The sequence below is a fragment of the Homo sapiens genome, chromosome 3, assembly GCF_000001405.40.
Source record: "Homo sapiens chromosome 3, GRCh38.p14 Primary Assembly".
In the NCBI taxonomy this organism is placed as follows: domain Eukaryota; kingdom Metazoa; phylum Chordata; class Mammalia; order Primates; family Hominidae; genus Homo; species Homo sapiens.
In genome coordinates, this window is record NC_000003.12 from 146,515,106 (window position 1) to 146,535,506 (window position 20,401).

Consider the following 20,401-nt stretch of genomic DNA (forward strand, 5'->3'; position numbering starts at 1 on the left):
TGTACCATCATTTAACTGAATGAGTGCTCAAAATACCATCTGAACACATTTCGTTTAAAAACAAAAATCAAATATACAAAAAAATCAAGTTTTTATTTCAAATATTTGAATCTAATAGATCATTATTTAGGTTTATACTCTGTGAATATATATATGATATTGTATTTAATTAATATCTGAGTAATCTCAATTACCATTTTCTAGGAAGGATAGAGTGTAAGAGCTAAACATTTCATGTAGAAATATTAACTTTCAAAAGTTATAATACCAGAGTTTTAGAGTGAAGGAGTATTTAAAATGTGTCTTTCTTTGGGAGAGAATCATTTTGTTCTTTACTAACAATAATTTGAAAATTGGTAATTTAATATCTTGTGAATATGAAAATATTATGGTATAGATTAGCTTCTAGGAGAAGTTAAGTGTAGCATGATTTCTTGAAGATTAAAAAAACATTTAACTTTTTAAAGATAATATGCATATTGAATATTATTTGAACATAATAGTAAAGAAAATTATCTTTGAGCTTTTTTGAATATATGGCATTTGCAAAATAACATTAGCTCTTATGCATGAAATAAATTGTAACTAGATTTAATAGGACAAGATATAATTTATATAAAAATTAATAAGGCCTTAGTTAATATTTGGTAGTAAAATGGACAATGAATCAGAGATCATAATTCAAAGCAGTTTTTCAAAGGAAGTTTCATTAATAAATGCAAAAACTCATATGTCCTTTTTCTCAAATTGACAATGAGTATTAAAAAATGTACAAAAACCTTTATAAATCAGTTATACAGAAGATAAACTATAATTTGAAAAGCAAAAGTATACAACCAGAGCTACAGGCCTTACAGCTTAATTCATACAGGTATGAGTTTAGATAGTCTCAATCAATATACAGACTTCAGATTTCCTGAGGAGACTTTCACTAATCCACTACCACACTCCTGATTTTTGTTCCTGGCTGCCAGTGCTTTCAAAAAACATGAAGTCCTAGATAAAAACAAAAGTATACAAATGAATTTTCAACAACAAAACAGAGATCAATTATCAGATGCAGAAATACTAAGGGATCTAGTGAAACACAGTAACAAATCTGTTAAAAAAATTAAATGTAATAAGTAAATATACAAAAGCTCTATAATTATATAAGTTCTGCCTTTGGCTTTCCATTTTAATAATAAATTCTATAATTCTATTCATTTATTGATACCTGTATGAATTTAATTAATCTTCCAGTCATTTTCTCTAAATGTTACTTTTTCTCTATCCCCATAATTCTCATCTTTGGCTGCATACTGGAATCACCTGGAACACTATATGAACTTCGAAGTTTCTGATTTAGTTGAACTGAGGTATGGACTAGTCCTTGGAGTTTTTAAAGTCCCTAGGTGGTTCTAATGTGAAGGCAATTTCAGAATCACTGGTATATCCAATTATTTCCTGTAATTTGGTAGTTAGGTCTACACACTTGAGTGAATGTACACTCTTATTGTACTTCATACTCCTATATTAGATGGTTTAATTTAATTACTATGAGTCATGGTAAAGTTTCCTTGTTTCACTAAATTTTTTCCACATATGCCTACTTTCAACTTCTTCCTCAAAGCATCTAGGAGATGCCTGATTTAAGGGGAGACTAAAATCTCTCCTTAGTACATCTCCTTAGTCCCCCTCTTGCCATGTGAATATTCATAGACTCTTCAGGTAGAAACTAGTCACCTGTGACCCCAGAGTGTCAGGATCAAATAGAATTTCAGAGCTAGGATTAAATGGGAATCCTGATTTAAAATCTATAAATTTTAAAATGTCATTTTGAAATATACACTTTACTGAATCATTTCAGAATGAACCTAGAGAAAGCATCTATAATCAAGATTAATAAGAACAGACTTACAATGAGGAAACAGGCACCAATCATTACAGCTTTCATTTTAACATCAAGGTCTAAAGGGAACTGGATTCCAAAGTTATCAGCGTCTGTAAATGCCTCTCTCAAAATTCCAGTCCAGTGCTTGGAAATTTTGCCAACCACACACTGTTCATCAAGAGATTTAATCTAAATTGAAAAAAAAAAGTATTAAATACTTTTAGGAAACTTATAGCAAAAGTACTTTCAAATTTGAAGTAAGATGAAACAAATATGGTATTAAAATTATGCACCATATGTAACCCTCATTAGATAACTGGAGGCTCCTGTATCTATTTATAGATATATGAAAAAAACTGTTTCATTGTACGGAGAAATTATATTTCAGAAAGTTTTCCTGAAATATTTAACAATTTCTATTTTATATTAATATAGACATTAATAAATTATTTGAATTGACCCAAAAGAAAATTTAAGCAAAAAAGGATATAAATATGAAATGTTTCTTTGATGACATTTCTAGAAGCCATCAGGAAGTTAATGAACAAAACTCCTATTAGACTTCTGCTTTAGGAGAAGCACAGTTTACACAGACTGAAAGATTAAATATGATGAAAAGGCTTATTACTACCCACTGTGAGTTGCCAAACATGAAATGCTAAGCACCTAGAAAAGATTAGCAGTTTGGAGTAAAGGCAAATACCAATAAGTAACTTGATGAAATGCCCCACGCCAAGGGTTGAGGTTGAGAGTGGATAACTAGTGGGGTGTGAATAAAAGATGAAGAGTGTATGAACAAATGAGCTCCGAAGTAGAAGTTTCCTAATTTTACAATTCTGCCTGAGGAAAGCCCAGGGCCATCATATAGGGTTGAATGGACTTTGCTCAGACTAAGGCAACTCCTCTAGGAGGGCAGGTGGGGACTGAATGTAGCTGAAATTCACAAAACTATGTACACATATAGTTGTATTAACAGAGGAGTGTCCTTTTCAGCTAAATAAATGTGGGGAATCTAAAAATACTTGACTCATTTTATTTGAGTACAAGTGGATAGTTTGTAAAATACTAGAAATAAACATCTAATATGAAGCTGATAGCATAATACTGTTCATCAAATATTCATTTCATTCCCTCTCCTTCTGTAGGGCCAGTATACTTCCTGTTCCTTCATAATTAGGCTTGGCCATGTTACTTGTTTGAACAACGGGTGTTAGCAGATATGACATGAGTAGTGTCCTTAAACTTGGCTAAGTGCTTTGGCCTGGCTTATGATCTTCAGTGACAAGCCACTAGAAAAGCATGACTCAGGTAGCTGCTGCTGCTACAGCCATAGAACAAATCTACCTGGAGCAGATTGAGGTTAACATGCGCCTAAGTCAGTGCTTAAATACATCCACTGAAACACAGTTGACCTACACACCCATAAGCATGAGTATAAACACTTATTGCAAGCTGCTGAGTTTTAGGGATTATGTGTAATGAAATACTACTGTGGTGAAATAAACTAATACAAATCCTTTCTTGTACATGTTAGTATTTTTCTGCTAATAGCTGTCATTGAAGCATTTGAAGCTAGTAATGAAAACTCTTATGTTTTATTTTTTAATTCTGAAATTTAAAAAAATGAAAAATGCAGCTGACAACTTACTAGCCACCGTAAACTCAACACTATACAGATAAAGATATTAACATTTGCCCTTTTTGATTACTACAGCAAGAAATTTAACAAAGTAGAGAATACATTTTTTATGGCAAGGATAAGAAATGCAAATAATGATCTTCAACCAATAAATTAGCAGGACTAGATAATTTTTAGCTAAATTGTAGACATTTTGGAATAGAAAATCACTATAATAAAATGTCAACATTTGGAAATAATAAATTGGTATTGTATAATGTTAAACTTTCAAATCCATGAGTGCAATACTAATTGGTAAAAGCATTCTAAAAAGAAAACCATAGATTCATCTCACAATGCAAATATAAATGCAAAATACTGAAATATAATGACAGCATATAGGATCTAGGTATGTAGCAAAGAAATATAAAAAGTGTATCATGAGTATATTAATAGTTGCTGGTAAGCTATTTTATTTACTTACTAATGATTTATTTATTTACTGTTATTACACCCAATTTTCATGTAAAAAAACTAAAGCAAAGAGAAGTGAAAGAATTTGTTAAAGTCACATAGATAAGTGTTGTGAAGATGGGTTTCAAACCTGGGCATCTGGCTCCAGTGTCTATACTCTTGACCATTAGGATTGTCTGCTTTTTAAAAACATATTTATTGAATACTAATGAAAATCTAGTTGAGAGGGCAGGAAAAAAAATCTGTGGGCTATAGTTGACCATATAAAATTTATCACTACTCAGGATCAGTTTCTATATTTTGAGATTCCTGAAACACAACAGTGGCAGGAATTCAGATTTCAAGCTCATAGACAGAGCTGACTTGGTATGTCAGTTTCATGTGGCCATATTTTTTCCCCCTACCAAGAGTCCTTGAAGGAGACAGACTCTCTTATCACCTATATTGGATAAAAGGTCTACTAGGCTCTCTCTTACTCACCATTAAGATAACCTTCTTAGAGATTCAATTACTGTCTGTTTGCTGAAAACTCTCCATTCTTTTCCTATACATAACTAAAATCCAACATGACCTTAATTCAAGTCATTAACTTCCCATATATATTTTATATAATCAACTACAGCTCATTGATTATATTTTGCTGATCCCTGACCTAGATGTGTATTAGTATTTGATACCTTACTTTTTAAAAAGCAGACTATCATAATGGTCAAGAGGACACAAATCAAGTGTTTTTCCTCCAAGATTCTTAACTTGGCCAATGTAATATCAGAATAATAACACATCAAGTTTATCTCCAAAATTTTTTTCATCCTCAATTGATATCAAATCCATGAATTAGTTCCACATAGTACACCTATGAAATGCCTCTTGAGTTATTCTCTGTTTTAGAATGACTCCTGCCCCTGCTGTGGAACAGGCTTTTATCTCTTTTATTACTTCAAGTTTCCATGCCCAGTGACACCCTGGTGGATTTCATGTTCCTTAGTGGTCCCTCATACTGATAATTTCTGCTTTGAGGTGTCAAAGTTTCCATTGTCAACTCTATGGAAAATTCTTCAAGTGACTATTTCTCAATTCTTTCCATGAGAGTACCTTGATATCATCATTCTAGATAAATAGAAGAAAAGTTAATTTATTACATGGAATGGATGCTTTAAGGTATCCATCAAGAAAGACTGCCAGATGAAACATAAATTTTTTAGTATCAAATACAAGGATTACACAATGTTTTTCCAGTGTTTTCATTTATTTACTAAAAATAAAATATATGCCAGCCAAACTTCTGTTAATATTGTTCCTTGAATGAGAAATTACTTTTCACTTCTCTGGATGTAGGACAGAGATTCCATCCCTTACATGAAGAACTGCTATTATGCATACCCTTACATAAAATTTTTATACATGCATATTATGCACACATATACATACACACATTATATAATCCCCTTATAAGAGCCTTTTTAAAGTTTCTATATCACATCCTCCTTAGAACTGCAAATCTCTGTCATTAGATTATGAAGTCAATGGGGGAAAGGATTCATCTTTATATAGCTAAAGTCTGACGGAGGAATAAAATACCATGTGATTAAAGAAGGCAGGCAGATCACATAAATGAATGACACTGGATATTGAAAAACCTCAGTAAGGGGTGGAGACAGTGGTAGAGTTCCCATGTCATTATTACAAGGGGCAGCCCCACACATCTTTAGTAGATTTTTACCCTTTTGTTGGAAAGGTGGGCCCAGTTAACCCAATTTTCTGATTTTCCAAGAGAAACAAGAAATCAAGATTAAGTTATAAAACCTTCTGATTTTTAAACATTTGCAATGAAAAAATTTGGATTGTAAAAGTAGACCATCTGTTGTTGAAGAGCTACTCTAATGAAATTCTACAATGTATTACAGTAAATATACAAATATTAATATGTTGCAGCTTCTAGTGACCTAATTTAATATAGGGAAAAGGAGAGACCACAGAGAAGCATAACTGGGTAGTACATATTATACTAATTTTCTCAAAACTATCTTTGCATAATTGGGCTTCTTGTAGGAATTCAAAGATGTCAGACATTCTGAACATGGCCTTGAGCATTGGCAGATGATATTTCAGATTTAAGAAGGATCCATATGCTTTGGCAATCAGACTTAGATGGCAAGGTTAACGTTCTGTTTAAAATGGATAATATACAGTGTCATCACATAGAAACCACCACGTTTAAGTGAGGGATGATTTGCTTATTTTTATTTGACTACATAGGTCTGCTTCTTTTTTTTCCATTTCTCATGACCAACAGTGACCTTTAATCAGAGTGATAACTACCACTCTGCCCAAAGTTAAATAAATGAGAAAATCATCTTGCTATTGAGACATTGGCACACAACACTTATTTAATGCATTTATAATGTCCTGCAAAATTACATTCTTCTTATATTAGGAAAGCAAATCTTATAAACATTATGACATCTCTTACCTCAAAATCAACATCTCCACAACAGCTGCACACAACACATGGACCACTTATTTTTAGTACATCCTCTCTTTTCTCATTTTGAATTGTAAACTTTGGTAGACATGGGTGCCAAGTCTGAATAACATAACCTATTGGTACACCAGGAGGAGCTTGGATTTCTATCTACAAAGGCAAAATAATATATGTAAATGTAATAATCATAATGCCTAGGTTCGATGAAAGGTTCAATGACAGGGCAGAAATTCTTGCTGAACTATTTTACAAAGTGCCCTGGTAATTGATCACAGACCTCCTGAAGGCAGCAGGGACAACAACAGCTGCTACATCTTAGTGGTCTCTCCAGAGTTATGACTTCTTGACCCATATTATCAATAATCCTCAAGGTAAAAGGTCTAGATGGCCCACAGCAATTTCGGGTACAGCAATCAGTATCTTCCGCTGCAAAGTAAACCCTCTGTCCAAAGCTGTTCTTAATTTCATATTTGTTATTAGTTTCAAAACCTGTTAAAACTAAAAACATAAAAGACGAAATCATAATCACCTCTATGTTAAAAATATTGAATTTATCCAGATATTATAATATCTAGCTATGCCAGTTTTTGATGATACCCCAAGTGGCATAAGGAGGAGAAGAAATGATGTTTAGAGATGATCCAGACAGAGAAAAATGGCAAAAAAAAGGAGAGATTACCAATGTATAGAGAAATTAAGTCCTTATGCCGTGGGGAAAAGAGAGATCAGATTGTTACCATGTCTGTGTAGAAAGAAGTAGACATAAGAGACTCCATTTTGTTCTGTACTAAGAAAAATTTTTCTGCCTTGAGATGCTGTTAATCTGTAACCCTACCCCCCACCCTGTGCTCCCTGAAACATGTGCTGTGTCAATTTAGGGTTAAATGGATTAAGGGCTGTGCAGGATGTGCTTTGTTAAACAAATGCTTGAAGGCAGCATGCTTGTTAAGAGTCATCACCACTCCCTAATCTCAAGTACCCAGGGACACAAAACACTGTGGAAGGCCACAGGGACCTCTGCCTAGGAAAGCCAGGTATTGTCCAAGGTTTCTCCCCATGTGATAGTCTGAAATATGGCCTCCTGGGAAGGGAAAGACCTGACCGTCCACCAGTCCGACACCCGTAAAGGGTCTGCACTGAGGGGGATTAGTAAAAGAGGAAGGAACGCGTCTTTGCAGTTGAGATAAGAGGAAGGTATCTGTCTCCTGCTCGTCCCTGGGCAATGGAACGTCTAGGTGTAAAGCCCAATTGTATATTCCATCTACTGAGATAGGGGAAAACTGCCTTAGGGCTGGAGGTGGGACGTGCTGGCAGCAATACTGCTCTTTAAGGCATTGAGATGTTTATGTATATGCACATCAAAAGCACAGCACCTTTTTCTTTACCTTTTTATGATGCAGAGACATTTGTTCACGTGTTTACATGCTGACCTTCTCCCCACTATTATCCTATTGTCCTGCCACATCCCCCTCTCCGGGAAACGCCCGATAATGATCAATAAATACTAAGGGAACTCAGAGGCCGGTGCTGGCGCGGGTCCTCCGTATGCTGAATGCCAGTCCCCTGGGCCCATTTTTCTTTCTCTATACTTTGTCTCTGTGTCTTTTCTTTTCCAAGTCTCTCGTTCCGCCTAACAAGAAACACCCACAAGTGTGGAGGGGCAACCCATCCCTTCATTATGTGAGACACTGGAAACAAGTTATATTTTCCTAATTCCATAAATGTCTGTCAGAAGAGAGACTTTTCTGCTGAGAGTTGGGGCAATGCTGTGGGTGGGCACGGTGGTGCTAGGTGTATAGATAAAATGTCCACTAATGCAGGATAGTTTATGTGTAATGTGGAGGGGAATATAAGAGGATTGCTGTTTATGTGCTATGAAATTTTATATTAAATCAATTGGTTTGAGACTGTCTTATAAACCTTACTTATGTCTTATTTTTTTGCAATGCTTTTGAAAGAAGGCAATGTACACGCATAAAAACCGAGGGAGTAAAAATGAAAGATGAATTAGAATGTCACATTGGACCCAGGGCATCCTTATTCAACTCAACAGTAGTTGTTCAGAAGTGGGAGGTGGGTATTAGACAAACGTGTTCGGCAACCAAGGCTTCAACTCACAGAATATCTAGACCGTGGGAATCCTAAGTGAACTCTGCACCTTTGCTGGGCTAATCTATCTTCATGAGGGAAACAGATGGCTGCAAAATGCTGACACTCACATACTTTGTATCAAGGGCTTTCCATATCTAACCATACATTGGAAACCTCTCCATATTTAAAGCCAGAAAGGAGCAATAACTGTCCCATTTGTACATAGTCCTCAGTAACTGGGGTCATAGATGTCAGAAGCCTGGCTAAAATAATGAGTGATTAAAATAAATATATGGAGGAAAAGTCACTCTATAATGCCTATGTGGAAAGACTCTGAGTCGGATAAAGACGGCCTTCACAAGTCTTACCACCATGAACTCCTTTAAGTGTCCTTGGTGGGACACAGACAGACCCTGTACTCTGCATTTATAGGAACAACGTCTGATTTCAACATCTGAAATAGTCAAATGTTTGATGAGAAAAAAGTTAAGCTGATTTTGAGAGGACATTCATTATCTAATTAATTGTTACATTAAGTAGCTTAATCTCAAAAATCTCCAGCTTATTTGTAAAACAACATTGGTTTACATAACCTTTAAGTTTCTTTTCATTTACTTTAAAAATGTAAACAAATTGTTTATATTTTTATTGTCTTCTGTGTTTTGAATTGAGAAAAAAAAGTAAGTGCCTAGTTTATGCTCAGATTCTAAAAACCTGAGTAATCTTCATCTTTTTTATACCACTCATGAAAAAATAACATAGACTTTCAATTTTGGAGAAAAAGAAACAAAAAAAAAACTGGAGACATTTCTTTTTTGAAAAATAAGCATAATTAAAAACTGTTAGATTTGGAACTTTCTATTTCATAATTAACACATATTTAACAAATATTTATAAAGCCTATAAATCTACAAAAAAAGATAAATAGTGTGCTGTGTAATGTTTGGTTATATGTCTGTTTGGATTTTATAGCCTTACTAATATATACTATAAAACATTAAAAAATTCAGAATACAAAGCTGTCTTCCAGAGAAAGCTTTGTTTAGATACACTAAAAAAAAAATCAAGTAACTTATAAATAATAATGTGCTTTACAAATAACTTCAATGTAATAGATGACAATTGTATATTTTAGCCAAATCCATTATTCTGCTTATACAATTCATCTTCTAATTTTTACCAGTGGAAAGAAACTTTGGAGACAGGTGAAAATGAATTTAGCAGACATATTCCTAAAAACTGGAGAGTTTTATTTTTTATTAAACCTTTTTTATCTAGAAGGAAAACACTATGGTTCATAAATCTATCCAGGGTCTTCTTCCCCTGGCAGCCATTATAAAACATTAATTGGCTTCCTAGGTTTATTTTTGCACCTAAGGAGCCCTGGACCCAAGGAAATGTCAGGCCATTCAGCAGGAGCAGGAGTGCTCTTCTATGAAGCCAAGCCTGCAGGCTAGTTGGTCAGCATCCTCCCACACTGCAGTGGCCTGCATCTGACCTCGTATACAAAGGTTTTATAGGGTTCATCTTAACTCCCAAGAGAAACTGTGGGCACAAATGATAATTTTCCCAAACTTCCTCATCCAAATAAAAAAGATAACTTACTTTGGAATGTGGCTCTGTGCCATTCTTAAGCTGATCACAATTACGGAGAAAATAGCTTAAGTGGTAGAAGTCAGAAAAAAAGTGATGTATGAAGAGAGGAGCAAAATAAGGGTTTTGATTATTTTCCTTCTAAGTTAGTGTCAATATCCCGAGGGCAGGTGCCCAACATAACAGCATTTTACCTTTTGATTCCTAAATTTTAGAAATGAATTGCTGATAACATTTATTATTGTAAATAACTGGTTTAACTGTCCTATATAAGTGAGAGTGTTATATTTGTGGAGGTCAATGTGCCTTTATCTGCATAAACTTCTACTCTTTATAGAAACAGGATTAAAACAATGAATACATACCTTCCAGAAGTTCAATTTGCTGATGAATCAGTATCTGATCTATCTATAGCAGGAAAAAAAATAAGTGGTATGTATATGTCAAATGAAGGTTTTTATAAGCTAACCAAATTAAAATTCATGTATTTATATTTTTAAAGTACATGTAACCAATTATCAATATTTAACAGCTTATATTACTTTTTAGTGTAAAACTGAAGTTAATATTTTTAATTAATAAAATATTTATTGTGTTCATTATTAATGTGGAAAAATTTAGGTCAAATAAAATTGATTTATACTGGAGTACCTTTAAAAATTAGACAATTGAGGTGGCTCATGCCTGTAATCCCAGCACTTTGGGAGGCCAAAGTGGGCAGATCACGAGGTCAGGAGATCGAGACCATCCTGGCTGACATGGTGAAACCCTGTCTCTACTAAAAATACAAAAAATGAGCTGGGTGTGGTGGCAGGTGCCTGTAGTCCCAGCTACTTGGGAGGCTCAGGCAGGAGAATCGCCTGAACCCAGGCGGCAGATGTTGCAGTGAGCCGAGATCGCGCTACTGCACTCCAGCCTGGGCAACAAGCGTGAGACTCCATCTCAAAAAAAAAAAAAAAAAAAAAGAAAGAAAAAAAAAAGAAAAGAAAATTGATACAAAATGGCCAGTAAGTTTATGAAAAAATGCTCAACATCACTAATCACCAGGGAAATGAAATCCAAACCACAATGAGATATTATCTTTGTACAGTTAAGAATTTTTATCAAAAAGACAAAAAATAACAAATAATGGTAAAAATGTGGAGAAGGGGAAATCTGTTGGTGGGAAAGTAAATTAGAGCAGCCATTATGGAGAACAGTGTAGCGGTTCCTCAAAAATTAAAATTACAGCCACCATATGATTCAGCAATCCCACTACTGTTTTTTTTGAAACAGTATTTTTTCAAAATTTTCAAAACAAAAATTTTAAAGGAAAGGAAATCAATATGTCAGAGGTATCTGCAATCTCATGCTTATTGCAGCACTAACAGTCAATATATAGAATCAACCTAAGTATTCATCAATAGATAAATGAATAAAGAAAAATTCATTCTTAATACACACAATGGAATAAAAATCAGCCATAAAAATGAATGAAATCCTGTCATTGGCAGCAACATGGATGAGCCTAAGGGACATTATGTTAAGTGAAATAAGCCAGGCACAGAAAGAAAAATACTGAATGTTCTCACTCATACATGGAAGCTTAAAAAAATTGATTTCTTAGAAGTAGAGAGTAGAGGCCAGGCGCAGTGGTTCACGACTGTAATCCCAGCATTTTGGGAGGCCAAGGCAGGCGGATCACAAGTTCAGGAGTTCAAGACCAGCCTGGCCAGTATGGTGAAACCGTCTCTACTAAAAATACAAAAATGAGCTGGGTGTGGTGGCAGGAGCCTGTAGCCCAGCTACTTGGGAGGCTGAGGCAAGAGAATAGCTTGAACCCGGGAGGCGGAGGTTGCAGTGAGCCGAGATCGTGCCATTGCACTCCAGCCTGGGTGACAGGATGAGACTCCATCTAAAAAAAAAAGTAGATACTAGAATAGTGGTTACTAGAAACTGTGAAGGGTAGGGAGGAGAGGTATAAAGAGAAGTTGGTTAATGAATACAAAATTACAGCTAGATAGGAGGAATAAATTCTAGTGTTCTATAGCTATGTAGGCTGACTATAATTAACAATAATTTATTGTATATTTTCAAATAGCTAGAAGAGAGGATTTGGAATGTTCTCAACACTAAGAAATGATAAATATTAAAAGTGACAGATATGCTAATTATCCTTATTTTTCATTACACGTAGTACATGTGCATTAAAATGCCAGACTGTACTCCATAAATATGCACAATTATTATGTGTCAAAAACAATTCAAAAGGTAGAAAACAATCTTCCTTCTAGAATAGGCTGAAGAAATATTGGTAACTTTTTTAGCCATCAAAGAGATTTTTTTTTACAAGTTTCAGATTTGTATTAAGCATACTTAATATCAACCTTTGTCATATGTGATAACATCCTTTATGTATTTTATGAGACTCTGATTTTTAAAATATCTATTTCTATGTATTTCTTGCATAATATAATAATGACCAAAAATTCCTATGATTATGCCACTTAAGCACATTGTGGGAAATTAAGTTACTAAAGAGAGTGCAAGAAAGAAATGATTTATGAAATGAAAACTGGTTGAATATCACAAGAATATTTGTATGTGTATAGACTGGACACACAGAGTTTCTTGTTTCTATTTGACCTACCTGATTTCTAACACCAATTAAATGTTAAACCTCTTATTGCTGAGATTAATTATAATTTAGTGCAACAAAATCCAGGACTTTTTACTCCTTTATTAATGGCATTTATAAAATTAGGTCTTCCAAAGAACAAAAGCAGCATCATAAAAATGCAGTTTTATTAGTTACAATAAAAAGGTGAGTCATATTATACATAAAATATTAACCCCTTGTTTGGGGCCACTTATTGAAACTCAACAATAAACTTTATTTAAATTTTCTTCCAAATTATAAGGCAATTATTCAGTATTGAGACTAAAGAGCACTTCGCTCAGTACCAAAGTTTCGGGATTAAAAAAACAGTCTTGACTCTTTAGGTTCTCACCCCAGAGTGAGCTATATAACCTCTCTGGACCTCAGTTTCTTCTTTTGAAAAATGTAGCACCTATACATCACAGACTTTCAATAAGGATTAAATGAGTTAATACATGTATCAGGCATACAACAAAGGCAGGAAACAGTGCTAATTAAATGTTTGCTATTGGCCATTATCATAGATTGTATTTAAGATAACAGAAAATACAATTTTCTAAGGCATTTGTATTTTGCTTTAAAATTGAACCAGACCTAGAAGAATTAGAGTAATCTGTTAGCAGAAAATACAGTTTTGCTATTTCAGACTTTGGTGAATTATTCATTTGCTAATCTGGTTAAGCAAGCTGGAAGCACAGTTCTGTTTTTTATGAGTATTTTGTGTCTTTGAAATTACCTGACTTAAATATTCTAATCCAGGTGGACAGTTTAATGGAGGCTGTGGCGCTGGCATCCATGGTACCCCTGCAGCTCCAACTGGCTGATTATATACTGGCTGATTATACACTGGCTGATTTGGGACAGGAAAGCCAGCTGGGCCAGGACCTGAATGGCCGGCTGGTGGGGGTGGGTAGCTGACCTGGGGCCCAGGGTAGCCACTATATCCTGGAGGTCCTGAAATACAAACAAGTGAAATGATTTGTAACTGCACCAAAAATGGAATTGTCAACCTTTTTAGGGTTATGCCATCTATCTATAAGTTGACATTTCAGCGTAGACATCTGTATCTGTGATGTTTAATACGCTTTTCTCTTTCTGAGATTTTTCAATGAAATATCTGTGGTTGCACATCCACTTCTATTTGGATGATAGTATGCGGTGAATAGCCTTACCCTTACCATTCAAAACTCAGAAGGAAAATATGCTTTAATATCTGAGAAAATGAAAATAAATAACCATGATCTAGAGTCACCTACATAAAGATTCTGGCAAGCCTTCAAGGGAAACAAACACGTCATTGGTAGAAGGCCCAAAATAATGGCTTTGAGTCAGCATTTCTAGGGCCAAAGTATCTTGTGAAAAATGATAATTCTGAAATTCTAGCAAATGCCTTATAATATATGTATAGAACTGGGGGTAGTTTTGCCCCCTCTCTGCCAGGGATATTTGACAAGATCTGCAGACTTTTTTTGGTCACAACTGGAGGGGAAGATAATACTGCATCTGGTGGGTAGAGGCCAGGGCTGCTGCTACACATCTTAAAAGAGCCAGAACAGCTCCCTAAAAATGAAGAATTGTCCAGCCCAAAATATTATAGTGCCACTGTTGAAGGTGAAAGCACGTCATTTCTTTCTTTCCATTTTTTTTTTTTTTGAGACAGAGTCTTGCTCTGTCGCCCAGGCTGGAGTGCGGTGGCATCATCTCTGCTCACTGCAAGCTCCACCTCCTGGGTTCACACCATTCTCCTGCCTCAGCCTCCTAAGTAGCTGGAACTACAGGCGCCCACCACCACGCCCAGCTAATTTTTTGTATTTTTTAGTAGAGACGGGGTTTCAGTGTGTTAGCCAGGATGGTCTCGATCTCCTGACCTCGTGATCTGCCCACCTCAGCTTCCCAAAGTGCTGGGATTACAGGCGTGAGCCACCGCGCCCATTCGTTTAGTACACGTCATTTCTTTTAGTACATTCCAGATGCCTGCTTGGGTTAATCCTTTGCCTTATGTTTTAATCCATAATGTATTGCTTTCCTAAGTCCTTCTTCATTAAAATAAAATTCTATTATAATATTTAGGTTAGAAATTTAAATTTCACAATTTAACATCCTTTGGTCTCTGGAAAATATAATTTGAGAAACAAGGATGGCAAAAAATTGTAAGAGGCAGAAATTTAATAACAGTAAATGTACTTCATATTCTCTGCGAATGTGTGATTACAATGAAGATTTATATACCTGTTTGTATGGTCCACAGTGTAGCAATTCCATAGCAGTGGAATACAATTTCAAAGGACTGTGTTTCTCAATATTTTAACATTAAAGCCTATGCAAAATGTAATACTTAGAATAGGAAATTTACAAATTCTTTTAAATGGATCATTTATGATAAAATTCATTTGCCCTTCAAAAATAAGGCTTAGAAAAACAGAATAAACCTCACAATAATGCATCATAAATATAGCTTTTATAATTTATTCCTTTATGATGAATGAATATTTACAAATGATCATAATGTGACTGGCTGTGTTGTAGAATATGAGGATACAATTCTCAAGGAGGCAGCCTGCTGTCAGAGAGCTTACAGTCAACTTCTGGGAGAAAGAAAACACATTTAAAACAAAAAAAATTCATATGGATGTGATGGAGAGAATGTATGCGAGCGAGGGCAGGGTATGAGGCAGTTACTTTGGGTAAATATAATTTATATCAAGGTCTAAAAGATGAGAAGAGAAAAGCTTTATATGAAGATTAGTGATAAATGCTTCAGGAGGAAAGAAAGGCAAATAGAATACCTCTGACTTTGTAATGAATTTGACAGGCGTAAAAGAGAGAGGAATGTCATAAGAAAGAAGACGACTAGGAAAGGCTGTTAGCAAAGCAACAGGAAGCTGTTCATCAAAGGAGGCCTTAGTAAGGAGTCTGGATTTGGTTCCAATTATGATTGGCAAGTACTGGAGGAATTTAAGCAGAAGAATGAGTTCCATGGTCTTATCTATATCTTACAAAATTTTCAGGAGTGGAAAAGCATTAGAATTTACAATGGAAAACACAGATGCAATCCCTGCCCATCATTGTTTAATGAGAGAGACAACTTTATATCCCCACTTATTCTAGGGAGCTATAATACCAGTGTAATTAATTGATTCATTAGAATTGGAGATAAATGCTTTCAAGTAAGAGACCACGGTTTTATGACTAGAGATGCCAAAGGTCGCTATTGAGATGGGAAGAGAAAAAGGGAAGGAGCAGGAACAGCTGCCTTGAGGGGTCACCTTTATGCTGAGATCTGAAGGATGCACAGGAGTTCAGGAGGCCAGAGTCACAGAAAGAACATTTCAGAGCAACGTCCTGGGACAGTAACTAACATAGGCCTTTAAAAATCTGAAAAATAGCCAGTCTAGCTGAATAACAGCAAGCCAGGCTCAAGAGGAAGTTAAAGAGAGAGCATGGAAAAGGCCATCCTGAGTTTAGTGTTAGCCTTTATCCTAAAAGTAATAGGCCACTAATAAAATAGGGGCTCTACACTCTCTGTAATATGAGCAGATTTACATTTTTAAAGATCACTGGGGTCAGCACAGAAACCAGACCATAGGCAGACCAGTGGGGATATGGAGATGTGAGTTAATTTCTTACATTTTTAACATCATCATAATTTTCCCCAGACTCTGAAAGTATGATGGATTACTCCTCAAATCAATGAATTAAGCATAAAGAATTACCTGAAATTTGAATACTAGTATCATTTATGTAAAGACTAATTGATTTAAAATATTTTAAATATGTTAGCAAATACTTGTCATTTATAATTTGCAAGCATTGTGCTCAGTGTTTTACATATACTCTCATTTACTCTACAAAGCAACCTACATTGAAAATATCACCCTTATTTATAGATAGGAACTCTGAGGCTTTGAGGTACTGCAACTTGTTTAAACTACCACATAACTATTAGTACAGAAGGCAGAACCTGGTTTACCAGCACATTTACCTATACGAATTTTTTTTTTAAAGTAGGCAGAACTTGAAGCCTGATACAAACTTCCTATGCCTCAGCTTTCCCACATACATAATGGGGATAACTGACAGTATTTACCTCATAAGAGTATTCTAAGAATTAAAAGTGTTAGTCCACATTAACTCCACATTTAAAACAATGACTAAAGCATGGTAAGATCTCAATTTTAAATTATCCTTACTCTTAGCATCGTTATCTTAAGACTTGTGCTATATGTAATCTTGGACTTGAGAAACAAAATCAAGCTGTAGAGCCATATATATCTATATATATAAACAAACTCTCAAGTCTGATTATATCTGAACTGTATTATTTATGTATATCTACTTTTAATTAGTGATAGGGTGGATTAAATCATTCTCTTAAGTGCCTTGGATGAATATTATAGACTTACTAATGATTTTTCAAACACCAACCCTATAAGAATTTAGAGCAGATGTTCTCAACCCTGGCTTCACCTTAGAATCACTTGGGGTGTTAAAAGATTACTATTCCTTGAGTCCCACCACTGGAAGCTATGATTTAATTTTTCTGGAATAGTGCCTTTGCACTACTATTTTTAAGTGCTTCTGGGTGATGATACTTCAGTGCAGACAAGGTTGCCATGAGCCACCACTTGAGAGTCTGAGCTTATCTAGCTCATATTCTTTCAGTTGCAAACATCTGGATGAGATCCGGGACCCGCAGGGAGGTTTCTTGCTAGGCAATTAAACATGACATTCAGCTCCTAAGCACATTTGTTTACTCAGAGAAGAAAACACAGTGGGTACATCCTTCTATCCAAACCACATTCCCTTTGGTCCTAAATCCTCAGGATGCTCTTTCAAGATGTGGGTAGCCTGTCTGCTTGTAAATCTGGACATGCCATGGACTTTGCTATTTTTAAAGTTCTAGTAGTTTTGATAACTGCATTTGCCTAAATGAAAATCTCTGAATTCTTTCAGGCATTGGTTGAAAAGAAAAAATGTACTCAATTATGTATGTAGTCAAATGACTCAATTACTTTTCTTAGAAATACAGGGTGGAATCAGCATATATATAAAAATAAAGCTTTCATATACATTATAAAATTAAAATGAGAATTATTCCCAGGTAACTGAATTTCTATTACTTTCAGTTTTAAGCAGTCTTACTATTTTGATGTGACTCTCACTGAACACATGCCAAGCTACTACATGACTCAGTTTATCAGAAATAAATTTCCTAAATGTGATTAAATGATCATAATTTTCAGAACAGATGGAGGATCAATAAAATATTTTACTTAACATTTGTATTTTAGGATGTACAGTCTTGTATTTCATTTGCTAAATGTAAACCTAATGTTGTTTTTACTAGCTTTCTTTATACCTTTACTGTCCTCTATAAATAAAAATTACTTCTGTGCAAAATGATAGCCAAATAAAAATAATCAAGAACAACTAGGCTGCCAAAATTTCATTAATATAATTTTAAAAAAAGAACTACTAAAATAAAAACAAATGCACAATTCTCTCTCTCTCTTACTCTCTCTCTCCCACTCTCACTCTCTCTCTCTGTCTCTCAATTAATTTTACTTTTTCTTCTTTCAGCAACTGCTTTACCTTGGAATGCTGTCGGTGGATACTGAGGAGGATACCCAACTGGCAAGTTTGTTTCCGGGTGAGAAGCATTCATCTGTGAGTCTGCAATTCAAGGAGAGGTAAATAGATGTCTGATTAAATAAAATATATATTAGAAAGAAACAATGTATTGTACTTAGATAATTGTAACTTGTATGTTCTTATGCTGTATTGAAATAGGGAAAGTAAAATTTTCACTTAACGTAAGCTGTGCCTGTTCTCAGAGCTAATTTGCAACTAGCAAATTTGTTTCAAACAAATTCTCCTTTAGATAAAATGAGACAGTTAAGTTACTGGGGCTGAATTACCAGTTTTTGAAACATCCCTGATGAATGTTCAGTTCCATGTTTTGTTGATAATAAAACAAAGATAGCTTTAAAATTACATACAGACTACGAAGAAAGAGATAAATGAAATTAATGGGATGTGAAGATGGTAGAATTATGGATGATTTTAAAGATATCTATCATCATTGCTGTAAGTATTATTTTAAATATTTAAAATAATGAATATACTTCAGTATTTATATATGTTATGCTTACTCTGGAACTACACCAATGAAGTTGAACCATATGAAATTCCCCAAATATGACTGTTTTTGACCCACAAAAGCCATGTTTAATTACAATACACTAGCATATTAAACTTTGTTATTTGCTAATAAGGCTTGAGTAAACTTAATATATGCACAAATGGTTCAACCTCCTAAATATTAATATTCATGTCTATCTAGTCATTCGGTTACCTACCGCAGCCAGTCTCTAAATATTTACTGAGCATGTCCTGTGTCACCCTTGAATTAGGCTCTGTGGCTACAATGGCTCTGCTTTCATACAGCTTAAGGTGCAGTAGACACTACACTTATCTCCTTATCTGTTTCCTTATGAATTACTAACTGTAAATTCAAAGTCTTTTGTTTTAGAATCATGGAGACATGGCATCAATATAGAAGAACATATAGGTCAAACTTTCACTGTAACACATTTTTCTGTATGTGTCTCTATTATGAACTTTCAAAGACCACTCAACTTGTGAATCGTGTGGTTTTATCAGGAAGATTGGATTGTTTCCCCCACCCCCTGCCCCGGCCTTTCTCCTTCATAAATAGCTTCATGATGACTTCAGCGGAATCCAGTCCATGGTGATTGTGTAAAATCAGGCAAAAAAACCGCTCTCCTACTCGTTCAAGACTAGCCTGGCCAACAAAATGAAACCCCATCTCTACTAAAAATACAAAAATTAGCCAGGCATGGTGGCACGCGCCTGTAGTCCCAGCAACTCAGGAGGCTGAGGCAGGAGAATCACTTAAACCCGGGAGGCGGAGGTTGCAGTGAGCCGAGATCGTGCCACTGCACTCCAGCCTGGGCGACAGAGCGAGACTCCATCTCAAATAAATAAATAAATAAATAAATAACACAAAACAACAACAAAAAACAAATGAGGACTTTTCCCTGGACAAACATTGCAACATACCTTGTGATTTGTGAATCATCACAAATCTCTGAAACTCCCCATCATTCTTTCCCATCCATTCTCTTCTATTTCTCAGCATCAAGTGACTGACCTAACTCCCTAGTTCTCTAGCTAATAAGGCCCTGCCTGCAGCCCCTACTCCCAAATTAAGTTGGAAACACAGCATCAGACTCAGAATAGATTTCAAGAAAATATTTTGCAAGTCTGAAGTAAAGATCTACCCTTGACAGGTATGTCACATTGTGATACCTCTTAATAAGCAACATTGTTTGAATACTATAACATAGAACACACACACACACACATATACAGGAACAGACAGACTCAAGAAATCATGAGCTCACAATCTCTGGGCTTTTGGTACCAAAGCAATGATTCTGATTTCAGGCATTCCAGGGGGAATTCATACAAGGAGAATGAGTGAATGGGCAGGTGTTCAAGCAGAACAAAGAGCATGTTAATTATGGTTTGATTACTGCGTTTTTGAAATGCAACTTAAAATGGCTTATAAGAAGTACAAGTCTATCACATTGTCTTAAAGGTACT

General features: G+C 35.1%; 1 protein-coding gene across 23 annotated transcripts in view, besides 2 other annotated features; it reads right to left on the reverse strand.

Annotated features, from left to right (window-relative positions):
• Positions 1-74: 74 nt before the first annotated feature.
• The window catches only part of PLSCR1 (phospholipid scramblase 1), a 29,428-nt gene continuing 9,101 nt past the window's right edge, over positions 75-20,401 (reverse strand). For 6 of the 23 annotated variants that reach the window (NM_021105.3, NM_001406034.1, NM_001406033.1 and 3 more), the window contains 7 exons: positions 18,365-18,445; positions 13,509-13,726; positions 10,500-10,542; positions 6,728-6,948; positions 6,439-6,600; positions 1,901-2,062; positions 75-996 (listed from right to left, as the gene is read on the reverse strand). In NM_021105.3, the coding sequence (NP_066928.1) occupies positions 940-996; positions 1,901-2,062; positions 6,439-6,600; positions 6,728-6,948; positions 10,500-10,542; positions 13,509-13,726; positions 18,365-18,445 (944 nt within the window). In that variant the 3' untranslated portion in view covers positions 75-939. The remainder of the gene's footprint in view (positions 997-1,900; positions 2,063-6,438; positions 6,601-6,727; positions 6,949-10,499; positions 10,543-13,508; positions 13,727-18,364; positions 18,446-20,401) is intronic. The other 17 variants (NM_001406041.1, NM_001406038.1, NM_001406039.1 and 14 more) reach the window with 7 other exon arrangements.
• Positions 7,032-7,549: an enhancer, noted in NCBI's record as "OCT4-NANOG-H3K27ac hESC enhancer chr3:146239924-146240441 (GRCh37/hg19 assembly coordinates)". NCBI's record gives its function as "activates a minimal SCP1, AML or CMV promoter by ChIP-STARR-seq in naive H9 embryonic stem cells {active_cell/tissue: H9 hESC(naive)}" and the evidence as "EXISTENCE:reporter gene assay evidence [ECO:0000049][PMID:30033119]".
• Positions 7,550-8,068: an enhancer, noted in NCBI's record as "OCT4-NANOG-H3K27ac hESC enhancer chr3:146240442-146240960 (GRCh37/hg19 assembly coordinates)". NCBI's record gives its function as "activates a minimal SCP1, AML or CMV promoter by ChIP-STARR-seq in naive H9 embryonic stem cells {active_cell/tissue: H9 hESC(naive)}" and the evidence as "EXISTENCE:reporter gene assay evidence [ECO:0000049][PMID:30033119]".